At 41.6% G+C, this 26917-nt stretch overlaps 1 protein-coding gene and 1 long non-coding RNA gene across 17 annotated transcripts in view, besides 2 other annotated features; one reads left to right on the top strand and one right to left on the bottom strand.

Moving 5' to 3' along the window:
• Window positions 1-26917, top strand: part of FOXP1 (forkhead box P1) — a 629271-nt gene that overhangs the window by 483881 nt on the left and 118473 nt on the right. The gene's annotated exons all lie outside the window — the stretch shown is intronic.
• LOC124906247 (uncharacterized) lies at window positions 11383-26878 on the bottom strand. Its single transcript, XR_007095956.1, has 2 exons — window positions 26529-26878; window positions 11383-25309 (listed from the first exon to the last, which is right to left on the bottom strand). It is a non-coding gene; the product is annotated as an uncharacterized LOC124906247 (long non-coding RNA).
• Window positions 12155-12254: an enhancer, noted in NCBI's record as "active region_20059". NCBI's record gives its function as "activates an Ori minimal core promoter by ATAC-STARR-seq in GM12878 lymphoblastoid cells {active_cell/tissue: GM12878}" and the evidence as "EXISTENCE:reporter gene assay evidence [ECO:0000049][PMID:35858748]".
• Window positions 20482-21064: an enhancer, noted in NCBI's record as "OCT4-NANOG-H3K4me1 hESC enhancer chr3:71128185-71128767 (GRCh37/hg19 assembly coordinates)". NCBI's record gives its function as "activates a minimal SCP1, AML or CMV promoter by ChIP-STARR-seq in primed H9 embryonic stem cells {active_cell/tissue: H9 hESC(primed)}" and the evidence as "EXISTENCE:reporter gene assay evidence [ECO:0000049][PMID:30033119]".

Below are 26917 nucleotides of genomic sequence, written 5' to 3'. Positions count from 1 at the left end.
CTTGCCATAGACCTATCTGACCATAGTCTATGCTGATCCATGTCAGAGTGGAGAGGTCTTTTTCTCTGGGAAGTCTAATAGACTCTGTGGTAACTATTGAAGTATTATCTAAACTTAAACATATGCTTTGTGTTTTTCCCTGTAACCTTAAATGAGACTGGGCAAATTGCATTCTTATCCTAAAACCATGTCTCTTCTTGATCAGCTCTGAAATGTGATTTGTCCTTTAAAGCCACAGGATCTTTTACACTGGACTGCCACACAAACTCAGCTGCATGGTTGAGTTTTGGAGATTGTATATGTCAGAATATGTTGGGGGAGGAGGCAGCATTACATTGTGATTAATACCATGGCCTCTGGTGTCTGACTGGCAGGTTATAGTCCCGGTACCACCTTTAATCCTGTGTGACCTTGGAAAAGTAGCTTAACTTCTCTGTATTTCTGTTTTCTTATCTAGAGAATGTGGCTGGTAACCTCACCTACCTAAGGCAGTTGTGAAGATTAACTGATTAATGCATGAAAAGTGCCTGTGTAAAAACTGTGGGGTTTTTTTGTTTTGTTTTGTTTTGTTTTGTTTTGCTTTGTTGAGATGGAGTCTCGATCTGTCGCCCAGGCTGGAGTGCACTGGCATGATCTCAGCTCACTGCAACCTCCGCCTCCAGGGTTCAAGCAATTCTCCCGCCTCAGCCTCTGGAGTAGCTGGGATTACAGGGGCGCACCACCACGCCCAGCCAATTTTTTATATTTTTAGTAGGGACGAGGTTTCACCATGTTGGCCAGGCTGGTCTCAAACTCCTGACCTCAAATGATTTGCCCACCTCGGCCTCCCACAGTGCTGGGATTATAGGCGTGAGCCACTGTGTGCAACCTAAAAGCTGTTTTTAAAGGGAAAATAACCTAGTAAATTCCAAGTTATATTTAGTTCACTAGGTACTGGCCATTTTTCAAATGCGTGTTTTAGCTGTGTAATGTGGACCATCGTTTTGCTTATAATCAACTTTTGGGTAACCGGAATTGATGGGAGGACATCAGGCTCTTCATCTGTAAAATGTGGTAATCATAGCATTTATCCCATGGTGTTGTTATGAATATTAGCTGAGTAACATCTGTAAATAGCTTAGAAAGACATATAAAAAGTACTTAATAAAGTTTAGCTTCTGTCATCATCCGTGCTACTAACTACTTTTAGCAGCATTATTTTGATTGCACAGTGTTTTTCCTAAATGTGTCACTTTAGGCACAAATAAGGGTCATGGTCTTCTAAAAATTCCATCCTGGTCTTTCTTTTGTTCTTGTCTTCCAGAATTTTACATGAATTAATGATAGGTAGTCTCACCAGCAAAGAACTGGTCCTTAATCTGAAATCTTGATGCTGTGACATTCCGCACCATTCCTGACATAAAGCATAGACACTTATTCATGAATGAGTTAGTGAATAACTGAGTGATGAATGAGTGACTGAATGAAGGAGTAAAATACCTAAGCCAAAAAGAAAGGAAAATTGATACTGGTTCACAGTTGAAGAGGCTTCAGACTGGTCTCAGGTTCGCGAGCCCCTAGAAACATTTCAAGACCATAAAAACAGCATTAAAAAAAATCCTGTGTCAGTCCTGCCTAAATCTTTCATTGGGTTGATGAAATGAATCCTGCCAGGTATGGAGTGAAAATCAGAACATTCCTGTAGTGCGGTTAGACTACCCTAATGCCCTGTGCCTGCCTTTGTACATTTGCTAATCCATTTAAGGTATAATATTAATGGCATAGAACTTTAATTCGTAAGTATAGAAAATTAAAGGAGACTAAAGGCAAAATACAGAAATGTATTTGGTGTCAAGATTACGTTCAATGAAGCATAGTGAAGATGGAATATACTTGCAGGGAGGAAGGAAAATACACCTAAATCTCTCATTTTGAAAGGAATTGGTTTACTTGATTATTTGCAACAGTATCACACTCAGGGAAATCTAAGACAAATGAAAGCAAAACAGAATTTAATTGAGCTATTATTTTGCAGACTTTGGCTTGGTTTCAGACAGTCTAATCAAATTGTCCTTTGCACAAATAACTAATGTTAAATGCAGCCTACCAACAGATGTTTAAAAGGAGTCTAATTGGAAAATCTACATCCTGGATTTAGTCTGTCTCACTGGAAAAAATAGCTTCAAATTTATATTTTTGAGGATGACACCCAGTGGCAAGCATTTCCAGAAGATAAAATTTTCTTCAAAGATGCTCGGTGCTTGGATGGAATTGTCTTGGATAGTCAAAGGTGGCACTCTAGAAATTCAATTTCCTGGAAATTCTCCAGCTCTGTGCCATGTAGAGCTCTACAAAGAAATCTCTTTATCATGTTACGTCACCAGAGCCCTGTTACCCTCCCTGGATTGTGTCAGTGGCCCGTGTGCTGTAATTTATAATGAGCCCCTGCAAGTCCTGCAAGGCGCATTCTGATTGATGACATTTAAAGGTACTGTCAAGGTGGCTGGGTAATGAAGTTGACCTTCCTCCATCGTTGTCTCAGTTTCAAGTTTGTATGTATAAACTATTTCACCTGCCATGTTTGCTTGGAACTTTTTATGATATCTGCAAAAGGAATTTGGTTTACTAGTAGTTCTTTTCTTCCCATTAGATCAGGGATTAACAAAATTTCTCTGTAAAGAGCCAGATAGTGAATATTTTAGGTTTTGTGGGCCATACTGTCTCTGTGGCAACTACTTACTCTGTTTTTTGTCATGTAAAAGTATCCATAGACAATATGTAAATGAATGAGCATGGCTGTATTCCAATAAAAATTCATTTGTGGACACTGAAGTATAAATTTCACATAATTTTCACATCACAAAACATTCTTCTTTTGTTTTTCCCTGCTATTTAAGAATATAAAAACAATTCTTGGCTCAAGGGCCATACACAGGTGGCAGCCCAGATTTGGGCTGTAGTTGGCTGACCTGTGCTTTAGATGACTGGATATGATCATGCAGTTTGTTCATTGAACCAGGATTCCTTATTGAGGGGACTAGCAAGGGCCGAAATCTAGCAATTGTTTATCCCAGTGTACCCTGGCATGGCACTGGGGCTGTGTCAGCTTGGAGGAAGAGGCATCCATTTTTTTCATTTGCGCAGAGGTGCCACCTAACACCCCACTTTCCTTCCTTTTCATTGTGTTAGTTTGAAATCTATCCGTGCATTAAGATAGGTGTAATGGTGAAACTAGTAATTTTTTGGGTATTTTGAGATTCAGGAAAATGGCCACAGCTGGCAGGGCTACAGTTGGCTTATACCACATACTTGTGTGATATTGAGGAAGGTACCCTTTCAAGACACTTTACTCTCGTCCTTCTGAATATTTTCATAATATATCTGATTGTATTACATTAAAACACTTCACTACTATCTGTCTGAGAAATATCTTACTGGTTATATAGATCTACAGTATCTAAAATGCATACAGCTCTGTCTTGAATCCAAGACATAATGGGACTGCTTCAACATGGAGCCCTCCTAAGATGCCCAGTCAGGTGCTCACATAATTTTCCTCCATTGTTTGTATTTTGAACCCAAGCATGTTGGATTTTGGCAAAGTGACTTACATTTGTAAGTCTCAGTTTCTTATCTATAAATGACTAGTCAGTGGTTTTCAATCCTAGGGGTGCATCAGAACTAAGGTAATTATTACCCTTATCAAGATCTAGGGATCAAAGCTTTTAAAACTCACAGTTAGGCTCCGGAACTCTTATCTTCTGAATGAGAATCTTAGGATGGGGCCCAAGCATGTGTATATTTAAAAACCTTCATAAGTGCTTTTTATGCCCACCCATGTTTGAAGACCACCAGTCAAGAAGACAGCTAAGTACATTTCCAACTTAAAGTCTTAGTATTGATTTCATTCTGCTTTTTCCTCATTTCTTCATTCCCTAGCCTTCTTCTAGGGTAGCAGAAATGAACTCTCTGACCTTATTTCAGCAATGCAAGCCATCTATAGTCATCAGAAGATATTGGGAAATCCCAGCTCAGGAGTCTTAGATTTTGCCTTTGTGTAAATTTATGCAGGATGTAGCATTGGACAGGAAGCTGAATATCCTAATACAAGAATTAAGTAGGCCACCCACCCTGTTAATCTTAAAGTCCTATTGAGAAGTCCAGGGAGTGACAAAAATGGGTGGTCCATTTGGTATATTGAAGGTCTACCTTGAGATTTAAAATGTACAGTTCATCTCCTTTTCTCTACACATTTTATGCACTTCTGCTTTGAAATGATTATGCCACATTTTTTGTAATATGCATCCATTTTTACAATATTCCTAGCTCAGCCCAAATTGGGAAATACTGTGTCTCACCAGATCGCTAACTTGATATCTGACCAAAGTGATTTGGATACCTTTCAGGTAAGTGTTGAAATTGGCCCATGTCTCAGTGTCACACCTGGTCTCTAGGAGTTTAGGGCATACCTCATTCAGCAGCCTAAATGTTATTTAAAATGTAGACTCTGTGTTGATCTAGGAGCTTTCTTCTGCCAGTATTTTAAAAACAAATACCTTCTTTGCTCATTCTGCAAAATATGGAAAGAAAAAACTGCCAGTGTGGAACTAGGAAGACCAACTGGGCCTCTTACCTCTTTATCTGTTTTACATTAGCATATCATTTGGCTTTTAACAAATAGAATCCTCTTCATTCTACAACTGTTCTGGAATTTTGGGGCCATTAATTGATGAAGGCAAAATCACCTTACTACAGCATGTTCCATGAGGGCCACATGGCAATTAAGGCAGTTTTTCTTTAAGGTAAGACCAACCGTGTGAGGCCCAGATACCCACCATCTAATGGCAGTAGGCAGTCTAATATTTTTTTTAACACAATTTACCAATTGGATTCCTACAAAAGAGAGATTATATTTTTTGACTTATGAACAGCAGGTCAGACATTTCAAAGAAAATTTAGAGAGCAGTAATTTTGAAAATGTACACAGATGAATTTGAAAATAAATATTTCGCTGCCTACGCAGCTCTATTTCTAAGGCTGGCTTTGGAAACGTATTCCAGAGGCCTCACCATTTTGCATGACACGGTGTCAGTTCACACACAATATATTAATGCTTAATTGAAGATAATGTAACTGCAGATCAAAGGCATAATTAATGGGCTTGCAGAAACTCTTATGTAGATCAGGATTTTGACTAATAGAAGTCTGGACAAAACTGGTTTATAAAAGGATCTTGAGACCAGCTGAGGCTTCATCTGTCTGCTCAGCTGATGGTGACCACAGCTGGAGCTGCCACCAGGGGTAGGTGGGTGAATAAAGGATAGCTCTCATCTCCACCATTCCCCGTCCCCAAACCAACACTTCCTGGTGTGGCTCCTGGTTGGCCTCTGGAACTGCTGGACTGTAGAGCTATTGAATATCTGTTGTATACAATAAGCAATTAGTTTCTGTTAGATTCAGGATATCTCTATGACTCTGTGACCTGAAACTTTTAGTGGGAAGCACATGATCAGGAAACAGGCCTTAGAATGGAAGTTGGCAGTTGTAAACCCATGGGCCAAACCCCGAAGCTTGTTTCTATAGTACTGAGGAGCCAAGAAAATTGTTACATTTTTTAATGGTTGGGGAAAGATCAAAAGACGAATAATATTTCATGAAACATGAAAATTATATTAGCCGGGCATGGTGGCGTGCGCCTGTAGTCCCAGCTACTCGGGAGGCTGAGGCAGGAGAATGGTGTGAACCTGGGAGGCGGAGCTTGCAGTGAGCTGAGATCACGCCACTGCACTCCAGCCTGGGCGACAGAGCGAGACTCTGTCTCAAAAAAAAAAAAAAAAAAAGAAAAGAAAAAAAAGGGAATTATATGAAATTCAGATTTCAGTGTCCACAACTATAGCTTTATTGGAATACAGCCATTGTGAACTTGTTTTTCTGTCTATGGCTGCTTTCAGCAGAGATGAGTGGGTGCGACAGAGACTGTGCGTCCTGCAGTGCCTAAAATATTTATTCTCTGGCCTTTTATAGAGAAAGTTTTTGGCCCCTGGCTTCAAAGTTCAGGTTTGGTCTCTAGGACACCTTTGGGAGAAGGAGCTTGGGCATCTAGAAACTTACTGAATTTATAGGGAAAAACACATGAAAAACAAGAAAACAGCTTTCTTACCAAAATGTTTGGGAACTGATAGAGAACAATGTTACTGAGAGGCAAGAATACAGCATTCTCATGAGAAGATTATTGATTTTTATCGTTACCATCACCATCAACAATATCTAAGTCTCATTTTGATCTTTATTGATATTATTATAATCATAGGATTCATTTGGTTTTAAAGTTTGGTGTAAATGACATAGCGATTCTGAGAGCAAGGCCTCTGGGAAGTAAATGTGAGAACAGACCAGAGGCTTAGTGATTCTTTCATCCATCCATCTATTCACTTATCCTCATTCTAACATTTATTATGTGCCTGTAGTGTACCGATCCTGCTTAGTACTGAAGTAGAGAATTGCATATTTCTTAGTCCTTATATCACAGTTGAAACTGAACAGAGAATTATAATATGATGTAATAAATGTACTAACAGAGGTAATCTGTACTAGCCACATTTCAAGTTCTGTTCCTAAACTGGGAACACACACAGGAACAGAACTTGAAATGTGGCTAGTACAGTCAAAGAGTTGGATTTTTAAATTGTATTTACATTAAATAAATTTAAATTTAAATAGCCATATGTGGCCAGTGGCTATTATTTTGATTAATGCAGATATAGAACATTTCCATCATTGTGAAAAGATCTATTGGACAGTGCTATCTAGAATGTTCTTTTGCTTTTTTTAATTTTTTTTTTTTTCATTTTTATTTTTATTTTTTGAAATGGAGTCTTGCTCTTGTCGCCCAGGCTGAGTGCACTAGTGCGATCTTGGCTCACTGCACCCTCTGCCTCCCAGGTTCAAGCGATTCTTCTGCCTCAGCCTCCCAAGTAGCTGAGGCGTGTGCCACTATGCCCGGCTAATTTTTGTATTTTTAGTAGAGACGGGGTTTCACCATGTTGGCCAGGCTGGTCTCAAACTCCTGACCTCAGGTGATCTGCCTGCCTTGGCCTCCCAAAGGGCTGGGATTATAGGCGTGAGCCACCACGCCTGAGCTTTTTTGCCTTTTAAAGCATTTGGTAAATATGTCTTCCTGATGAAAAATCAAGAACTAATCTCTTTTAATGTGGTGTCTTCATATATCTCTAAAGTATATCTGTGCAACTCTTTGTCACGTGTCTCTCTATATCCTTCTTTTACTGTATTGCTACCAGTGTAAGACAATACTCCAGTCATCTCTGGGAACATCTACTGCCTCCATTTTCTCTGTGGGAGCTCAAGTTTTCCTTCAAAATAAGAAAAACTCCCAAGACCTGGAAGTTTGAAGGAAAATAAGCCAAACGCCCTCCCTCACATTTGAAAACTGACAATTATTTTTATTTGTGCAGGCTTAAGATGGAAATAAGAACTTCTAAAAGAATTTGAAAAATACCCTACTTACCAAAAAAGCTTAAATCATTTCCTCTGAAAGTTTCCTTCCATCTAAGGTTTGCTTCGGTTCCACAGACCAGCCTCCTCCTGTCCTCAATCTGAGGGGGAGGAACGTGACCTTCAGTTTCCGCTGATACTGATTTTAGGGTCCCACAAGGGTCTCTGTACTTGCCCTCCCTCTTAGAGACACAGACTGGCACATCCTGGTTTTCTTTTTTTTCTTTTTTTGAGATGGAGCCTCCTTCTGTCACCCAGGCTGGAGTGCAGTGATGCCATCTTGCTCACTGCAACCTCCTCCCTAACTCACCAGGTTCAAGCGATTCTCCTGCCTCAGCCTCCCGAGTAGCTGGGATTACAGGCGTGCACCACCATGCCCAGCTAATTTTGTTTTTTTTTGTTTTTTGTTTTTTTTCTGAGACAGAGTCTCTCACTCTGTCGCCCAGGCTGGAGTGCAGTGGTGCGATCTCAGCTCACTACAACCTCCACCTCCTGGGTTCAAGCGATTCTTCTGCCTCAGCCTCCCAAGTAGCTGGGACTACAGGCGTGTGCCACCATGCCCGGCTAATTTTTGTATTTTTAGTAGAGACGGGGTTTCACCATGTTGGCCAGGCTGGTCTCAAACTCCTGACCTCAAGTGATCTGCCTGCCTCGGCCTCCCAAAGTGCTGGAATTACAGGCGTGAGTCATGGCACTCAGCCTACATCGTGATTTTCCTGTTGGCTTTTGTAAAAGCCAGATCCTTGAACTTTGTTTCTTATTTCCAAATGTTGATTACAGTTGTGTTTCTCATACCTCTCTCCCAGCTGTGAAGTTTATTGGTCTTTGTTTTATTAATAATTCTATAATTGAGAATTATATTTTATTTTAGACTCATAATGTCATAGCATTACATTCATTGGTTGAATATGTTAACTGGTTAGGAAAAAGCTTGGGGTTACCCTTAATCTTGAGCTTGAGATATTGATGAGACAATTAAGCTTAATTTGGTAACTCTTTGGAGTAGATAGACCCAAATTCTAAAAACCATCATTTACCATCTCTGGGACCTTGTCCAAGTAAAGCTCAGTTTTTTTTTTGTTTGTTTGTTTTGTTTTGTTTTGTTTTGTTTTGTTTTGAGACGGAGTCTTGCTCTGTCACCCAGGCTGGCATGCAGTGGTGCGATCTCGGCTCACTACAACCTCCGCCTCCCGGGTTCAAGCACTTCTGCCTCAGCCTCCCAAGTAGCTGGGATTACTGGCATGTGCCACCATGCCCAGCTCATTTTATTTGTATTTTTAGTAGAGACGGGGTTTCTTCATGTTGGTCAGGCTGGTCTCGAACTCCTGACCTCAGGTGATCCACCCACCTTGGCCTCCCAAAGTGCTGGGGTTACAGACGTGAGCCACCGTGCCTGGGCTAAAGCTCACTTTTGAGCTTCTATAAAGTAGAAATGTCTACCCAGCAGATTAATTCAGAGGATTAATTTAAGAATACACACACACACACACACACACACACACACACACAGAATCTGGCACCTGTAGCTCAAAATGTTACCTGCCCTTCTTATAGCTGTTGTTCTGATCATTATATTATGATGATGTTGGTTTGGGTTATTACTTGTGAGATCCTACAGTGGTCTGGACACACAAAAAATTGAATTTTATATAATACTGAGGCTTTCTGATGGTAGTAGATGGGCAGAGAGTGGCAGTTGTCAACCCCCTATGCATTTCAGAGCGAAGTGCATTTAGAATGGCCATACCTATGTTATCATATACCTATGTTATCGTCTCTGAATCTTTGATATATGCCAGATGGGTTGCAAATTCTACAGTGAATTGTTCACTTCTGTAGGTCTTCTGTGCAGGACCCTAGCTCTCCTGTAATGGCAGTGCAACTGCTGAGAAGAAAAGACAGAGTGCAATGATCATGCTTCCCCACTCTGACCCCCTCCTAGTTCTTCCCTGCACTCTTAAGGAGGCAGTTGCACAGTTATTTTTTATTTGACATTATAGTTACATATATGCAAAGAAGATCAGGGAGTATGCTCATTTTATTGTGTCTTGATGTGTTGGGAAGGGAAGCATGGATTATAAAATTATCTTTTCATCAAGCCTTCTAGTTAGAGTTGACTTGCTTCTCCTGGGGACTGAGTAATTTGTTACTCTTCATTGCCCTGTTACTTTTTCCCCCCAAGGGTGGTTCTCCTCACACCTGCAGGAGACTTGTTCTTTCACTTCTGTATTATCACATTACATACTGCACTTATGAAAAACGGGGCAAATGTTTTCTAACAGCCATCGTGACAACTCTGTTACAAACAGGGAGGTACTGTTTAGTTGAAAAACATGGGAATATCCAAGAAAAATGTGAAAGAAGCTTAGAAAATGAAATTTCTTGAAAATAGGAATCGAGAGATTTGTTTTATGATGGGAGCAAGGTTGAAGAAAGTAAGGAATTGATTCCCCATTAGAGATTGCAAACTGATGGCCCGCAGGCTAGATACTGTTTTGTTTATGCACACAACATTTAACCTTTTTTTGGTTCGAACTTTTTGAAGGCTTTCTTTTTCTTTGCAAAGATTTAAAAAATCTGGAGATTTCCCATGAAAATCTCATTTTCTGTCATCTCCTAAAAAAGAAAAAAATCAGAAGTTCAAGCAATATACATAGCACCAGTTATCTGGAGCAGAGAAATGCTGCCCATTCCCACTTTGCCATGGACTTCAACTCATTTCAGTAGCCTGCCTGTCTGCTGTCTATCCCTCTTCTAAGTGGCTCAAGGTTTCATGAACAGATTCACCTCAGAGTCTCAAAGGCAACAGCACGCTATAGTGGCCCAGCTAGAGCCCAGGCATTTTGGAATTCTTGATTTCTTTGTATCTTTGTACCCTGATTATAGACTGATGTCTTTTTAAACTGGCTGCCTTGTGAAAATTAGAGTTCCTCTTTCTTAACTAGGACTGTGGGTAGTAGTGATCCCCATGTGGCAAGGATGGGGCAGGGAAGAGTGTTCCTGCAGGAAGAAAGTGTGTGCAAGCCAGATGACATGCAACTGCCCTCATGATCAGATTTGGATAACTCTGTTATTTACTCCAAACCTTAGTGTCTTACAGTTTAAACATTTATTCTTTTACACACTTTCTGTGAGTCAGAGATAGGGGAGTGGCTTAGCTGGGTGGTTCAGGCTCATAGCATCTCATGAGATTGCAGTCAAAATGTGAGGCTGGGGCATGATTGGGGCTAGGGGAGCCGCTTCCAAGATGGCTCGCTCACATGGCTGTCAGCAGGAGGCCTCAAGTTCTCAGGCTGTGGACCTCTCCATAGTGTGACTTCAGTGCCCTTGTGATGTGGCAGCTGGCTTTTCCCAGAGTGATCCAAGTTGTGACCTAGCCTTGGAAATCACATACCATTACTTCTGCCATATTTATTGGTCACAGAGACCGGCCCTGACATGGTGTTGGAAGGTACTATCCAAGGCATGAATACCAAATGGTGAGAATCTTTGGGGCTTGTTTCGGAGGTTGGGTGCCACTGATTCCAACCTCCTCATTAGCCCTATTTAGAATCAGAGTAAGAGCAAGTCAGTGTAATTGTTTATAAAGTGTCATATCCTTCAGCTATGTTGGATGGAAGAAAGGTCAAAATGTGACCTGAGCACTGGTGTACTCTTGGCGTAAGGTCATTGGCCAAAGTATTATTCACTTCACTAAAAGATTTGCCTGTACTAATAAGAAAGAGAGATTGACAAAAGAGATGAACTGCACTAAGGTATTTGGTGAGTTCGATTTCTTTCTCAAATTATGCAAATTTCCTCCAGCGTTTCCCCCTAAACAATGGGAAGTTGCATATTCTCAAAGCTGTAAGACCTTCAAAGATAATCTCAGAGTGATTTTAAGGCAAAATAAGTAGTTTAATATTTATATCTAACTGCATCTCTGGTGTCTCAGAAGTCTTTGACATCATTGGAATGACTTTGTTAGTACCTTTCCCATAAATAGTTAGCTAGACAGGTGAAAGTTCAAGAAAAATAATGAGATCCTTTACGCAACTCAAATAGACTGTTCATGAGATTCCCTGTTCAACAAACATCTGACAAATTATTGGGTGGTTGTGTTGACCTAGACACCTAGAGTGAGGCACCTAGAGTGAGCAGCAGAGAAAGCAGCCGGGAGATTACATTCTTATGGGACATTAAACTGGTAAGCCAAAAAAAAAAAAACAAAAAACAAAACAATGTATCACCACATGTTGTGTGACGATGAAATCTGTAAGAAAACAAAGTAGATTAAGATAAACACCGTGGTGATGACAGTCCCATGTTTGACTGGCTGGCCAGGGAAGGACTCTGAGGAAATGGTCTTTGAGTAGAGACCTTGACTGAGTGAGGGACTGAGTCTTGCGTCTATCTAGGGAAGAAAGTTTCAGGTTCGGGGAAGAGCAAGTTTAAGAGCCCCCAATCAGAAACAAGCTTGGTTGCTCTTTCGCAATTTCCAGAGACTCCATCTATTCCCCAGCATCTTGGTTCTCACCACTGCACTGCTTATGGTTGACCGTCAGCTTTGCTTTTTTGACCATAGTCTTACAGCCCTGGCTTAGCCTTCTCTGAAAACATACATTTGCACACTAAGCCAGATTCACATGGGAGGTACATTATGCCGTGGCCTAGTCTAGTGTGTATTTCCCCTTTCTCTCCCCACAAAGATTTTACAAAACTTATACATGCAAACAGGTATTTTTGTTTGTTTCACATGAGTCGCTTTTGCATAATATAACAAGCCCATGATTTCACATGTACAGTAATTCATAGAAAGTGATAGTCATCTTGCTTAGACACCTTAGTTCTCAAATCTAGCCTGCTAAATATAGTACCTTCTCAGACCCATATAAGGTGTCATAAAAAAAGAAAAAATAAAGGTCAAAGTTTCCCCACCCACAAATTTGGTTATAAAAACAGCAAAGCAGGGTTTTTCTGAACTTGAATCAGTAAATTTTTAATTTAAATAGTATCCTGTTTTGACAAAGTGCTAAACCACAGAGGTCTGAGAAAGACACTCTTAAGCCTTTGTCAATACCAGCTGGCATCTCTCAACAGGAAACCTTGGATGACTTTTGTTGTCATTTTGTGATGCACTGACAAGGAATGCGTGCCCTTATTTGTTGCATCAAGGAAATGGTCAGAGTACCTCTGATGCGGCTCGATGCCGTTTACATCAATATGTTGCATAATCCTTTGCCAGACAAAACCGGTATTTTGTTGTCGTTGTTTGATCAATTAACATTGGATTTCTGGCTTTGCTAAGTGCACCTCCAGAGCAAGACACAAAATGATGTCACATGAGTTCTGTTCTCTGACCCACCCAACAAAGAACTGAGCTAACCTGCAACCCTTTTCCTGCCTTGGTCTTTTGATCTCATCAGTTGTGCAGCTCACCTCTTCAGGGCCTGCACAGCTCTTGAATGGTGTGGACTGTCCCGAGGAAATCCAAGGTACTATAAGAGCTCTTTGTTGGAATTCAGTCCCTAGCCCTCTCTTTATCTCACTTTGTTTCATGTTGAATAGTAAGTTGCATTTTACTGTTATGGTGACTGCATTTTTCTTATGGGGCCTTCAGGGTAAACAGCCGTTAGTTTCCATCTGTGAACACACATGTAGCTTGTGTTTGGGTAGGGTGCCTGGTGCTTCCAAAGTCATTATTTTCTCTGTAATGTTTGTTCTCCATGGTTGTGCATAGATAGATTCTATGCCCCAGTGCAGGACGAAGAGGTAGCCTGTAATTCCAGCTGAATGTGTTGCAGTTGAAAGTGGGACGGGAGTGGAAGCAAGTGATGGATCAAGCAAATCGCTTTTAATTTTACATAAATTGGTTTTCTGCTTTCCTCTGGGGCAGAAGTTTGCTGCTCAGGGTCATGTTAAATGTCGCTGATGATTTGGAAGAGAGGCATTCCTGGAAAATATCCGGTGAGACAGAACTTGGGATTTCAGTCCCTGCCTCTCATTGACAGACTTGGGGAAATTAGAGATGGAGTCTCTAGCCTGGGATGGGAGCCGTTATCTCTGGACCAGCTAGAGACACTGGAGATTAGAAAAGGCAACAGCAATTTTAGATTCCCGAAGAATAAAATTATCATGACATTTATCAAATGTGCTCCCTTTCCCCCCGGTACATTGCATAATAATGATGTTTGTATATGTTGTTGTCACATAAGCAAGAACGAGAGAAGATCCCCTTTCATGGGATGCTCACAGATTTCCTTAATATGAAATTAACTAGCAGTCCTAGATAAGTAAGCTAGAACTGTAATGGGCACAGTCTGAAAGAGGGCAGAGCTTTCTTTTTGCCCCTTGGCCAAGGACAAAACATGGGCAAGGCCAGTTGTCAACATGAGACACTGGTTTCAGGTTTGCAGCTACAAAGAATACAGTTGTGATGGATTTCAATCCGATATTTGCAGTTCCAATGCTAGAATTTTCAGCCATGTCATCCTGAGTCTCTTTAGGCTTTAGAAACAAAGGATTCATGTTTGAATCGTGACCTGCCACCATGACCTTGGGCAAAATAGAAAACTTTGTTTCTTTGTCTATAAAATGGCCGTAAATGTGCGGTGGCTCACGCCTGTAATCCTAGCACTTTGGGAGGCCAAGGCGGGCAGATCACGAGGTCAAGAGATCAAGGCCATCCTGGCCAACATGGTGAAATCCTGTCTCTACTAAAAATACAAAAAATAGCTGGGTGTGGTGGCACCCGCCTGTGGTCCCAGCTACTCAGGAGGCTGAGGCAGGAGAATCGCTTGAACCCAGGAGGCGGAGGTTGCAGTGAGCCAAGATCACACCACTGCACTCCAGTCTGGCAACACAGTGAGACTCCATGTAAAAAAAAAAAAAAGGCCATAAATGATACCCACCATACAAGAACCAAATGAAAACTTGGACATAAAGCACCCAGCTAGAGACACACAGCATGTGACATACGCTTAACGAAAGGTGCTAATAATGTTATTAGAATTTCACTGGATTGTTGTTGATGATTCTAATATAATATTCCTTAATAGTAAAAAGCTGAAGCCATAGGAGCCCAGTAATCTTCACCTGGAATTTCACAGTAACAGGAAAATAAATGAAACTTTGGGATACTAAATATTAATGGGGTGAAGTAAAAAAAGCTAAGTGGGGCCTGGCGTAGTAGCTCACACCTGTGATGTGAGGCACTTTGGGAGGCCAAGGCAAGAGAATTGCTTGAGGCCAGGACTTCGGGACCAGCCTGGGTAACACAGGGAGACCCTATCTCTACAAAAAAAAATTTTTTTTTAAATTAGCTGAATGTGGTGTTATGCACCTGGAGTCGCAGCTACTTAGGAGGCTGACATGGGAGGATTGCTTGACCATGGGAGGTTGAGGTTGCAGTGAGCTGTGATTGTGTCACTGTACTCCAGCCTGGGGGACAGAGTGAGACCTCGTCTCAGAAAAGAAAAGCAAAAAGCTAAGTGGAAGAAAAAAAGTAGTTGCAAGCTGTTACAGAGCTGGACAGAAAATGCATAGAAATAAGTGGCTTTTGGCAAATTCTTTGAGTGAAAGAAATGAACAGCCACTAACAAGGAATGACTATTTTATGCCCAAATCCATATATTTAAACAATGATTGATTGATTGATTTGTTTGTTTATTTATTCAAGCAACTATTGTGCCTCATCCTCCCTGGTAACTGGGATTAACAGGTACCCAACACCACACCCAGGTAATTTTTGTGTTTTTAGTAGAGACGGGGTCTTGCTGTGTTGCACAGGCTGGCCTCGAACTCCTGGGCTCCAGCGATTCCCCCACCTCAGCCTCCCAAAGTTCTGGGATTACAGGCATGAGCCACTGCGCCTGGCCAACAATGATTTATTTTAAAAAATCATTTTATTTAGGAGAAAGCAAAGACTTTGAAAAATAGTGTTAACTATGCAAGGGCAGGTTATTCATGAAAAATCTATTCTATATTTTAACATGCCTGGTCTCAGTAAGTGATTTCAGTCAGATAGCTTGAAAGAGGCCACCATGAAGAAAAATGTGTATTTCTCCAGAATGTATGTATTACAATAAAATAGTTGCTAATGAATTCCTTTAAATCATTTATTACCAGACTCTATGAAAGTGAGATTATCATAATTTGGCAGAGTGGATCAAGAACAAAAAATAAACTATCAGATTCAGGAAAAATGAGAAACAAACCCATGGGTGAGGAATCAGTGAATCATTGTAGAGTTTGTTTTTGGGGGAAAAAAAAAAACCACACACACTGAAAGAATTTTGAGTGAAAACCCACTGGACTGAGAACTCTTAATAGTATGGTCATCATAAGACTTTGAGGGGATTTCTTTATTTTTTTTAGAGGGTGAAAATGTCTTGAAGAAATTCCCAGGGCTTGGTGAATAGAAGATACTTTACTGAATTTCAAAGTGATGTTGCAGGCATACCCTTGAAAGAAATTTGTGAATTGGGGTGATCGAAAGAAAAATGCACAGGTGGTGAACTGAAACCTGGTGAATGGTGCATGGCTGGGACAGGCCGTGTACAGTTGGGGTTGACTTGGGGAATCCCTCCCAGAATGGCATCAGATGAACCAAGATTTGCAACTGCAATGGTGTGCCTTGTAATTTGGGGTTTCCCTCAGGCAGTGCTTTTCTAGGTTGTTTGGAAGTGTTACACTATGACCACTTCCTAATCTTCTTGTGGAAGGAGGTACCTGTATTAGTCAAGACTTTTTCCCATGCAAATGTCAAAACCCAGCTCAGACTGGCAAGTGATGAGGGGTTGGGGTGAGAGAGTGTGTACGCTCACAGAGCTTAAAAGTTCAAGGGTTAGCCTGGCCTCAGACCCAGCTGGAACCAGGCACTCAGGTAACGTCATCAGGAAGGGTCTGTTCCAATTGTTCTGTTCTGTTCTGTTTCTTTCCTATTGGCTCCGTTCTTTGTCAAGTTTTTCCCTTGCTGAGGCCAGAGGGCTTCTGAGAGTCCCTGCTTCACATACTTACAGCTTAGCAACCCCTCAGAAAGAGAGTATCTCTTGCTCAGTAATTCCAGCGAAATCCCTTGAATCAATTGAGTGACTTGGGTCACTTATCTATACATGAACCAGTCACTGTGGAGAAGGGAGGAGATGTGCTGATTGGTAAGTGTGTTAGGCTGTTCTTGTGTCACTATAAAGAAATACCTGTGGCTGGGTAATTTATAAAGAAAAGAGGTTTATTTGGCTCATGGTTCCACAAGCTGCATTAACATGGTGCCAGCATCTGCTGAGCTTCCGGGGAGGCCTCAGGGAACTTTTGCTCATGGTGGAAGGCAGAAGGGGAGCCAGCATGTCACATGGCAAGAGCAGGAGTGAGAGAGAGATTTGGGGGTGAGGGGGCACACACTTAACCAGATCTCAGGGGAACTCACTGTCACGAGGACAGCACCAAGACATGAGGGATCTGCCCCTGTGACCCAAATACCTCCCACCAGGCCCCACCTCCGACACTGGGGATTACAGTTCAACACAAGATTTGGTGGGGACATATATTCAAACTATATCAGTGGGACCTAGCATTATATCCACCCCTGCATCCCCCGGATGATGTTGGCTCCCTTAAAACCACGTAGATCCAGAATAGATAAGGAGTAACTTGTTGCCACTCAGGTTCCTTTTAGAAGATGGAGGAGTAAGTGCTATATAGACATTTTGCTCCTTATCTTAAAGAGGTGAGCCATATCATATTGCTAGCCATATTGTTTAGCCAGTCAGCTGGTTAGCGGAAAAATCACTTCCTAGATTTGGACAATTCGACGTTTAATCCCAAACCTGGATTGGGAGCGCAGTATAAATAAATGTTTTAGGACTCAGTTCCTTCATTAGAAACCAGAAAAAGTTGCTCTAGAATATTTCTGCAGTCCCTTGTTACTGTAAAAAGTTTATATAATAAACTTACAATTTTTGTCTGTTTTTTTTTTGTTGTTGTTGTTTTCTTTTTTTTTTATTTTATTATACTTTAAGTTCTGGGTTACATGTGCAGAACGTGCAGGTTTGTTACATAGGTATACATGTGCCCTGGTGGTTTGCTGCGCCCATCAACCCGTCATCTACATTAGGTATTTCTCCTAATGTTATCCCTCCCCTACCCCCCACCCCCTGACAGGCCCCGGTGTGTGATGTTCCCCTCCCTGTGTCCATGTGTTCATGTTGTTCAGCTCCCACTTACGAGTGAGAACGTGTGTTGTTTACAAACTTATAATTTATGTGGTGGCTTTCATATGATGCCCATTTCACAGACTAGTATGTTCTAGACATCAGCACCGTCTATTCTTTTTTTTTTTTTTTTCTTTTTTTTAAACAGAGTCTCACTGTGTCACCCAGGCTGGAGTGCGGTGGTGCAATCTCGGCTCACTGCAACCTCTGCCTCCCAAGTTCAAGCAATTCTCTTGCCTCAGCCTCCTGAGTAGCTGGGATTACAGGCGTGCGCCACCACGCCCAGCTCATTTTTGTATTTTTAGTAGAGATGAGGTTTCACCATGTTGGTCAGGCTGGTCTCAAACTCCTGACCTCAAGTGATCTGCCCACCTCAGCTTCTCAAAGTGCTGGGATTACAGGCGTGAGCCACCGCGCCCAGCGCAGCACCGTCTATTCTATGTCTGCACTTTGCAGCATGGTAGTTACTAGCCACATTGGCTATTGTGCACTTCAAATGTGGATAATATGTTAGAGGAACTAAATTATTTTATTTAAGTGTAATTCATTTAAATTTAGATAGCCATTTGTGACTACTGTGTACACTGTTGGACAATTCAGCCCTGGGTTAATGACAAAATCTAGCTACATAGTAGACAAGTGAAATGTGAGTGACCATGGAAGATGACTTAAATCTTGTCTTGTGCCTTTGGTGAGTAATACTTAGTTGTATTTTTCATTCATAATTTGTAGTGGAAATAAAAAGCACTGCTCCTTCCAACAAATACAGAAAGACTGTTTTCTCCCTATGTATCCCCCAACCAAAGCAGTTCTAAGTGTTGGAGGCTGATTATTTTAGTTTTGTGGTTCCTCATGTATCTTCCTTGTCTGGTGGCGTGAAGCAATGGAAAGAATGCTTAATAAGGAGTCGCAGGTTTTAGGTTCTGGTCTCGGTTCTGCCTGTAACTATTTAGAGGTATGACCTTTGGCTCTTCATGTTTCCCTCCGTGGCATCAGTTTCCTTATCTGGAGTGAGGGGGTGGGATTAAGATGATCGCTAAATCTATTCCAGATCAGAGTTTCTATGATTCTGTGTCTTTTTCTTAATTCGGATGACCAGGATAATGGCTGAGGGTTCTCTTTGTGTAATTACTGAGCTGAGTACAGGTGCTGGAAAGAACTGGGGAGATACCTTGGGCCATTTCAGTTTTGAATTATGGAGTGTTAGAACACTTTTCAGATTGCCACGGGATCTGAAGGAGCCCTGAGGAAAGTCAAGTTCTGCTTCATTATTGTTTAGTGTCGTATCCAAGGTAAACCTGGACACAAATGCAGAACACTTAGCGTTAAGCAGTATATACTTTAAAAATTAGTTTAGTCGGAGGTTGCCTCCTTCTGCCACTTTCAGAGTTGCAAATCCTGTGGAGGTAAAGGTTTCAGACAAAGTGCTGGTAGAATGGGCCAAAGTGAAGATCACCCAGTGAGAGACAAAAGGGAAAGGTTAGTACCTTAAGTGCGCTTGAGAAATGGGTTCATTGAGTCAAATCATAACTACTACTGCTTGCTAAGCCAGAAGAAGGAAATTCAGAGATGGTAAGACTTTCTTTGATACCCAGGGAAATTAGGGTTAAGGATGGTTGCTTGGAGTGACTTCATCTGTAGAAGGCTGGATTCTGAAGGAGATGAATCACAAATGAAGAGAAAGAGGAAGGGAAGAACATTGGCCAGATTTGCAAGAGCAGGTAGGTGGATTTGAAGTGTTCCAAAGGACAGTGTGGTAGGATGTGTCAAAGCAGTACAGAGGCAGAAAGCCATCAGCTGGGGCTGAATAGAAATAAGATGTTTATTTGGTGATTTAATTGCAATGTTCAATAGTACATTTGATGATTGTGTTGTTATCGTGTAATAATGCGACAAAGTTAAACATTTATTGATGTGGTCACGCTAGTGAATTCCCATTGTAAATAGTAGCTCCTATTCTCTGTCTCCATAGGATCTTTCAGACACAGTTGCATCTTGTAGCTTTATTTTTATTTTTTAACTGGCTATCTTTATGTATGGGAACAGTCATCTCCAGAGATTCATTTTCATCTCAAAAAACTTCTAAAGGTGTTAATTGCATTTTTTCAAAACTCTTATGTAATTATTTAAAATTATTCCACCGGCACTATAAATCAGAACTTTTCCCATTATATTGCTGAGGAACATTTATGACCTGTTTAGACACTTTTGATTTATAGGTTTAGGAAACAAGAATATAGAAACCATTGCCAGGTTTTAATTTGGAAATTTCTTTAGCTACGTCTGTTTCTGCAGAAAAGAGAAACAGAAAGCTGGTAGGAGAGGTGATTGGAGAGGTATGGTCCATACTAGTGATTCACAAGAAAGAGAAGCACAAGACCTGATTTGGGGGTCCTGCTCTGAAATGAGCAATTGGCGTGTCTTGTGCATGTTGTTTATACTTTCTAGGCATTATTTTTAAATGCTGGTTCTGTGTAACAGGTGCCTAACTCTGAGTGAGTTATTTAAGTTTCTAGACCTCAGTTTTCTCATCTATAAAATGTAGACTGAAAACAGAATCTTCATAGGATTATGATAAAGATTAAGTAAGCTCGCTCATCTATGCATTCAAAAACCTTTGTCAATGAAGCCTCTGCTGAGAGCCAGGCACTGTGCTGGGTGCTGAGTGAAGGTGGCAGGAGGAGGCAGGGCCGGACCTCTCTTGGTACAGGTAATAAGTGGGAATAACCCGACACCTGGAGTGGGTGATACATGAGAATAAGCCCTGACGTGAACAGGTCTTCTTAATTGTCAAATAGTAACAATAGCACCCCAGTTTAGATGTTGTGAAACATTGGAGTGCACACATTTAGAAAACTGATCACAATATCTCTCAGATGAATATGATCCAAGAAATTTAGAGATAATAGAAATTGTCTGTGTCGAGGGAGGATGGGGAAGAGTTAATATGCTGAGATGAAGAATGAAGATTTTTTTAGAACAAAGTCTCAGCAGGCTGAAGTTCTCAATCAAAATGAAAAAAAGATCGTTAATGGGCATGAATGCAAAGCCCATACCATGGTACTAGTGTAGAGTGAAGAGCTCTAACTTAACAGCAGTTCATGTGACAATTAGTGAGGAATGATTGTAACACCAGTAGGAGCCAGTTGAGACCTAGGTGGGGGGCAGGGGCAAAGAATTCAGACTGTATTAATAGAATAATGAGGAGTTGGGCTGCTGTCCTCCTCTGGACTAGAGGGGCAGACACCTGTCCCACCATGCTCATTTCTGCGCACTCTATTTGGAGGGGCGCAGGGGCAAGACAGAGTGGGTGGCCTTGCCTGTCACTTACCAAATACTGGCTACATGCTTTAAACAAAACCAGAACCTATTTAGGACTTTAGCAGGAAGGGGCAAAACCAAACCGTGAGTGGGCGTGGTAGGAAGTGGGGGAGTTGTTATAGTGCAGGAGTTCCATAGCATCCACTGGTGGGATGAACTTGGTTCTTAAGTCTGCAGTTCCCAGAATCCAGGTAACGAAAGAGAAGCAAAGGTCACACTAGCTCTTGTGCTTCCAAGGAGAAGGGTTAAAGTTGCCACTATTTATGACTAGTGGCTCCAATGAAGTCTGGGCTGCAGTCTTCCTGTGGGTCTTTCCTCGTCCTCCTCTTTTTTAGCTGCATCAGTGAAGAGCCTTTGGAGGCAAAACAAAATGAAGTGGAAGCTCCTTGGGCAACGTTATCTAGTTGCAGGATGTGCTGGTATTGGTAGCAGTTTAGAAAAACTGCTTTTCGTGCCCTTCCAGTCTTATGTCCATTCAGAAGGATTCTTTTCATTTAACAAAATTTAGCAAGAGAAATGAAAAACAGATGATTTTTTAAAACCCTGGAGTAGCTGTCTACCTTTAGTAGGTACAGTTTTATTAGGGTAAGTCATTCAAGTTTACTCACAGCCATAAAATGACATTTATTATTTGTGTAATCTCTGAATCATGGTTTGTACCCAGCTTTGTTTTGTTTTTTAATTTTCGAAGAGTCTAATCATTGATTGCTGTGTACAAATGCACTTTTTGCACGTGATGAGGTCACTCAGTCATAAAATTGTCATCAAAAGATTTTAGTCCCTAAACATGGCAATATAGGGATGCTTCTCACTGAATATTCATCTTACCTATAGAGATGCTATTATTTAGCAAGGACTTAGTTACTTTTTCCTTAACACTATGTGAAACGCACCACAGGTGGAGAAAGAAGAAAGAGCACACAATTCATCTCTCAGAGCTTACAGTTTAGAGAAAATATACAGAGGAGGCCGGGCGGGGTGGTTCATGCCTGTAATCCCAGCACTTTGGGAGGCCAAGGGAGGCGGATCACCTGAGGTCAGGAGTTCGAGAGCAGCCTGACAGACATGGAGAAACCCTGTCTCTACTAAAAATACAAAATTAGCCAAGCGTGATGGCGCGTGCCTATAATCGCAGTTACTCGGGAGGCTGAAACAGGAGAATTGCTTGAACCCGGGAGGTGGAGGTTGCGGTGAGCCGAGATCACGCCATTGCACTCCAGCCTGGGCAACAAGAGTGAAACTCCATCTCAAAAAAAAAAAAATATATGCACAGGAAACATAAATGCTTCTTAGGAGGGGAGGAAGTGAGAGGGGAGTAAGGCAAAGAAGAGAAAATAGAAAACATTCATTCGTTGGTTTATTCATTTGTTTATAAATTCATGAAATCTTTGTTGACGAGTGGTATGTACAGGGTTATGTACAACGGCATTTGATGAGCTAGTTCAATATGTAATGGAATGATGAAGTGACTAGCACAGAGAGTGAATGCTGTAGGAAGTCGGGGAAGTGGGAACACCCCAAATTTAGTGCCATGGTTGGGAAGATGGCTAGGTTGGTGACCTCTTCTCCTCGTGTGTATGTGCGTTCCTGTTAAAAAGGATAATTTTGCCTAACAGAGGAATACTTTTTGTTTAGACTTGGCTCCTTTTCATGACATTCGGTTTCACTGTACTATAAACAGGTCTTTAGCTGTCTTTCCCCCACTCCCCACTTAGGTCATAAGGAACAAGTAAATAAAAATTAACAAGAGCTACCTTCACTTCAGTACAGCGAGGCTGCCTTAGGAGAGAGTGCACTAAAAAGAGACCTCAGGGTTCAGGGATTGACACCTTGCTGCAGAATGGGAGTGACATGTGAAAGGTCAGTGGTAGCCTTGACTATGCCGTTTTTGTTAGAGTTCTATTTCCTCTTCTAGACATCTAAGAAGGATTAGCATACAAGTCCTTGGTGTTTTAGAAGTTTGCCCCTGCTTGGATGTGAGCTCTCTTCAAGCTTTGTTCTACTTAATTGTATAATAAGATAACTATGTCTGATGTGATATTATTTAAAAACTTGGTGACTGAAATATCTAACCCATGAGCCCATGCTCCATAACTTTATGTGTTTCCAATCCCTGTGTGAATGTTAGATTAGCCCTTCAAAAAATCCAGAGACATATTAGAGATCCACTGACTCAAACATCTCTGGCTTAGAAGCTTAGCAATCACAGTTGAGAGTGTGCCAGGATAGGAGTAAAGAACACCAAACTCTGCTAACTTGGAGGAAAACTATGTATGTGTGTTTGACCCAGCTGAGGTCAAGGCTGGATGAGATCATGTTAATCATGGCCATGACATGGATAAAGAAGAACAGAGACCATGCTCAAAACAGGAAGAAGGAGAAGAGGAAGAGATAAGTAAATTTTTGAGATAGGAAATACAGGTGAAATTGAGAAAAAGAAGAAAAACTATTCATCTCAAAGGAAGGGAGCTGGAGCATGAATTATAATCACCCCAGCCACACCAAATCCTTCACATTCTCTGGTATTCTGACTCATGTTGTCTGCCATATGAATGTTGGCACGTGCCATTCCAGTAGCTCAGATGCCCTTCCCGGTCCTGCCTGCCCATCTCCCTACGGCAGAGCATTATCCTTTCATCTTCAGCATAACTCTTGTCTTATTCTACAAGTTCCCTTTTCCCCCTGAGGCCAAGGTAGGAGCCCTTCTTTTCTGATGTCTGCGTATGTACGTATTTGTTAATTCAGCAAATGATCAAATGATCAAATGATGGTAAGAAAAGAAAATAGATTTCCATTTCTTCCTTCGAGTTAGTTGGGTATTGGGAACTTGAAAAATAATCTTAAAGTAGGCCTGTTAAACAATGATGCTATTTGGGTGCAAGCTGAGCCCTCTCTGGAGCCAGGGTGGCTGGGACTACATTGAAAGCCAGCCTTTCTGGAGACAGGCTCCACCGTGAGTAACAAAACATTGAAAAAATATAGGCCGAAGATTCCATAAATTAGGTCTCATGTTGGTCAACCTACAGTTCATTGTTCTTGACACTTGGGGCAGAGACCCCACCTTAGAATATCCCAGCAGGGCCTGGCACAATGGCTCACTCCTGTAATCCCAGCACTTTGGGAGGCTAAGGCAGGAAGATCACTTGAGCCCAGGAGTTCGAGAGCAGCCTAGGCAACATACAGAGTCCCCATCCCTACAAAAAAGAAAAATAAAAAATTAGCCAGGCCTGGTGGTTCATACCTGTGGTCCCAGCTACTGGGGAGGCTAAGGCCGGAGGATCCTTTGAGCCCAGGAGGTTGAGGCTGCAGTGAGTCATAATTGTGCTACTGCACTCCAGTCTGGGTGACAGAGTTAGACCCTATTTGTTTAAAAAAAAAAAAACAAAAAAAACCCAGTGGGTCCTTGAGAGCTCAGTGTTTAGCAAATCACCATACTCCTTCACCACATGCAAGTGATGAACTGGCTGGGGTATGTAGCACACCACAACCTAGAGATTTAAGTGGGACTGCTATTTTGCCTCTTGTAGATGATTCTTGGTCTAGTGACCCTGGTTAAAAAACAACCAAATGTCTTCTTCCATTGTTTGGCTGAAGGATCTGCCGCTGCTGAGTTAAATTTTGGAGTGAGGATCAACAGTACCTACAGCACAAAAAAATAAGAAGTCTAAGAAACTAAAATAAATTTTGGATTCTGTAATTTCATTATAGCAAAAGGAAGAAATTGAAGGAAAAGTGGTATGTAGTAATAGTAATAATGATACATTAGGAAGCATTTTAAGTGCTTACTGTGTGCCAGCCACTGATCTGTTTTATCTCATTTAAACCTTGTGTGGGTGAAGTACTAAGATTAGTTCTTTTTTATAGATGAGGAAACTGAAGTCTATAGAAACTAGCAATTTACTAAATGTACAGCCAGAGAATAGTACCACCAGGATCAGAACCGATGGCAGTGTCTCTCCAGAGTCACCATGCTGAATTCTCTCCTTGCCTTTTATGATTAGAGACCAAATAAGCTCCACCACCCTGATGTTTCATGTTTACATCTGAGACACTGTGTATTACCAGGAGAACTCAGGCACTGAGGCTGCTGGCCTCTGCCTGGTGCTCAGTCATGTGTCGGAAGGAGATGAGAGAAGATCATCGGTGTCTGTCTGTCTGTCTCTCTTTCCAGCAGTGGAGATGGGAGTATAAGAAACTGCTTAATCAAGGAGAAGTAACTCAAAAAGAATGCATGAGCCCCTGGTCTCACTCCCTCGATGTTCCCACTCCCACATCCAGCCAGCCCAGTTGTGGGTTGTCACTGTGGATTCCTGTAAGAATCAAAGAGGACATCAGAATTTTAACTTTGTGTTATTTTAGCTTCCATTCATGCTGACTAATCGGTGACACTTGGTCACATTTATTTTCCATGGGAGTAAGACTGAACCAGCCTCTTTGTTCTTCCAGGCTTAGTTTTACCCCCAAGCCTAGTCTCCAGATTGGCATATGGGATTAGAAGCCTTGTTTTGGAGTCATTCAAGTCTCAACACCCCACTGACCGGCTTCAAGATACTGATTAAATAATTTAAGCTGGCCATGTGCAGTGACTCAACGCCTGTAATCCCAGTACTTTGGAAGGCCTATGTGGGTGAATCACCTGAGATTAGGAGTTTGAGACCAGCCTGGCCAATAGGATGAAACCCTGTCTCTACTAAAAATACAAAAATTAGCCGGGCGTGGAGGCAGGCACCTGTAGTCCCAGCTACTGGGGAGGCTGAGGCAGAAGAATCGCTTGAACCCGGAGGCAGAAGTTGCAGTGAGCCAAGATTGCACCACTGCACTCCAGCCTGCATGAGAGAGCAAGATTCCATTTCAAAATAATAATAATAATAATGTAAGCTCTTAGAGCCTCAGTTTATCTGTCTGTTAAGTGGGCACAATAATACCTACTTCATCCGGTTGTTTGGAGGATTAAGCACTTCTATAGGAAATGCCAAATGCATCACACATTCCCATAAGTACTGCTGTATTTCTCAGCCATCTTGTTACCAGGCACCAAGCCTTCCCTCATTTTCCCTTTCTTTGTCAAATCCTGTGCCAGGGTCACAGTACGTGCTTCCCAGTTTGTGATTGGTGGCTTCTTTAGAGGATTTCCTGCACCTCTCTGTTCATGAGTGGCTCTGGTCCTTGTTATCTTAGCATTGTCTCAAAGTTGCCCAAGCTCTGTAGCCAGCAAATGAAGAGGGTCCCTAATGCAAGAGACTGAGCCCTGGAGGACACAGTCACATCCCAGCTCTTCCATTCACCAGCCAAAGGACCTCAGATGAGTCCCCCAGCTGTGAACAACATTGGAGGGTTTGCTAGACACTGTGTGCTTGCGATACATTGGATCAAATATTCACACCAATGCTCTCAAATCAGGAGACATTAATTTAGAAGTTGACACCCCCTCGGAAAATAATAACAGAAACATCTATCTACTCTGAGGCAGATAATCATTCCCACTTTACAAATGAGGAAATGCGGATAATATAAACTTTTGTGACTCACCTACATTGCTGATGAGTAACAAATACTGGATTCAAACTCACATCTCTTCTGCTTCAAACTCCAGGTAGCCTTCTCTATGTGCAGTGGAGGTTATAGGATTCTTGTTTCATAGGTTGTCGTAAGAATGTTGACAGGGCTTTGCAGACTTCAGAGATAAGGGGGATTGCTGTTGCTGCTGTTAAAATATAAGCCCCAAGGCAGGAAGAGGTGAGGATTCACATGAGGTATAGAGAAGGGTGTAAGCAGAGAACAAAGTTAGAGGGAAGAATAAGTTAGTAGCCCAGTGGGATGGGTGAACGGATGAAAAAGGGTGTCAGAGAACAGTTAACCACAGCGCGCCCTGATTTCAAAGCTCTGGCCTGTTGGGTTGTGACATTACATAGATGTGT

The sequence above is a fragment of the Homo sapiens genome, chromosome 3 (assembly GCF_000001405.40).
Source record: "Homo sapiens chromosome 3, GRCh38.p14 Primary Assembly".
NCBI lineage: Eukaryota > Metazoa > Chordata > Mammalia > Primates > Hominidae > Homo > Homo sapiens.
Note: the sequence above shows the minus strand (reverse complement) of the source record. Positions and strands in the feature narration are given on the sequence as shown.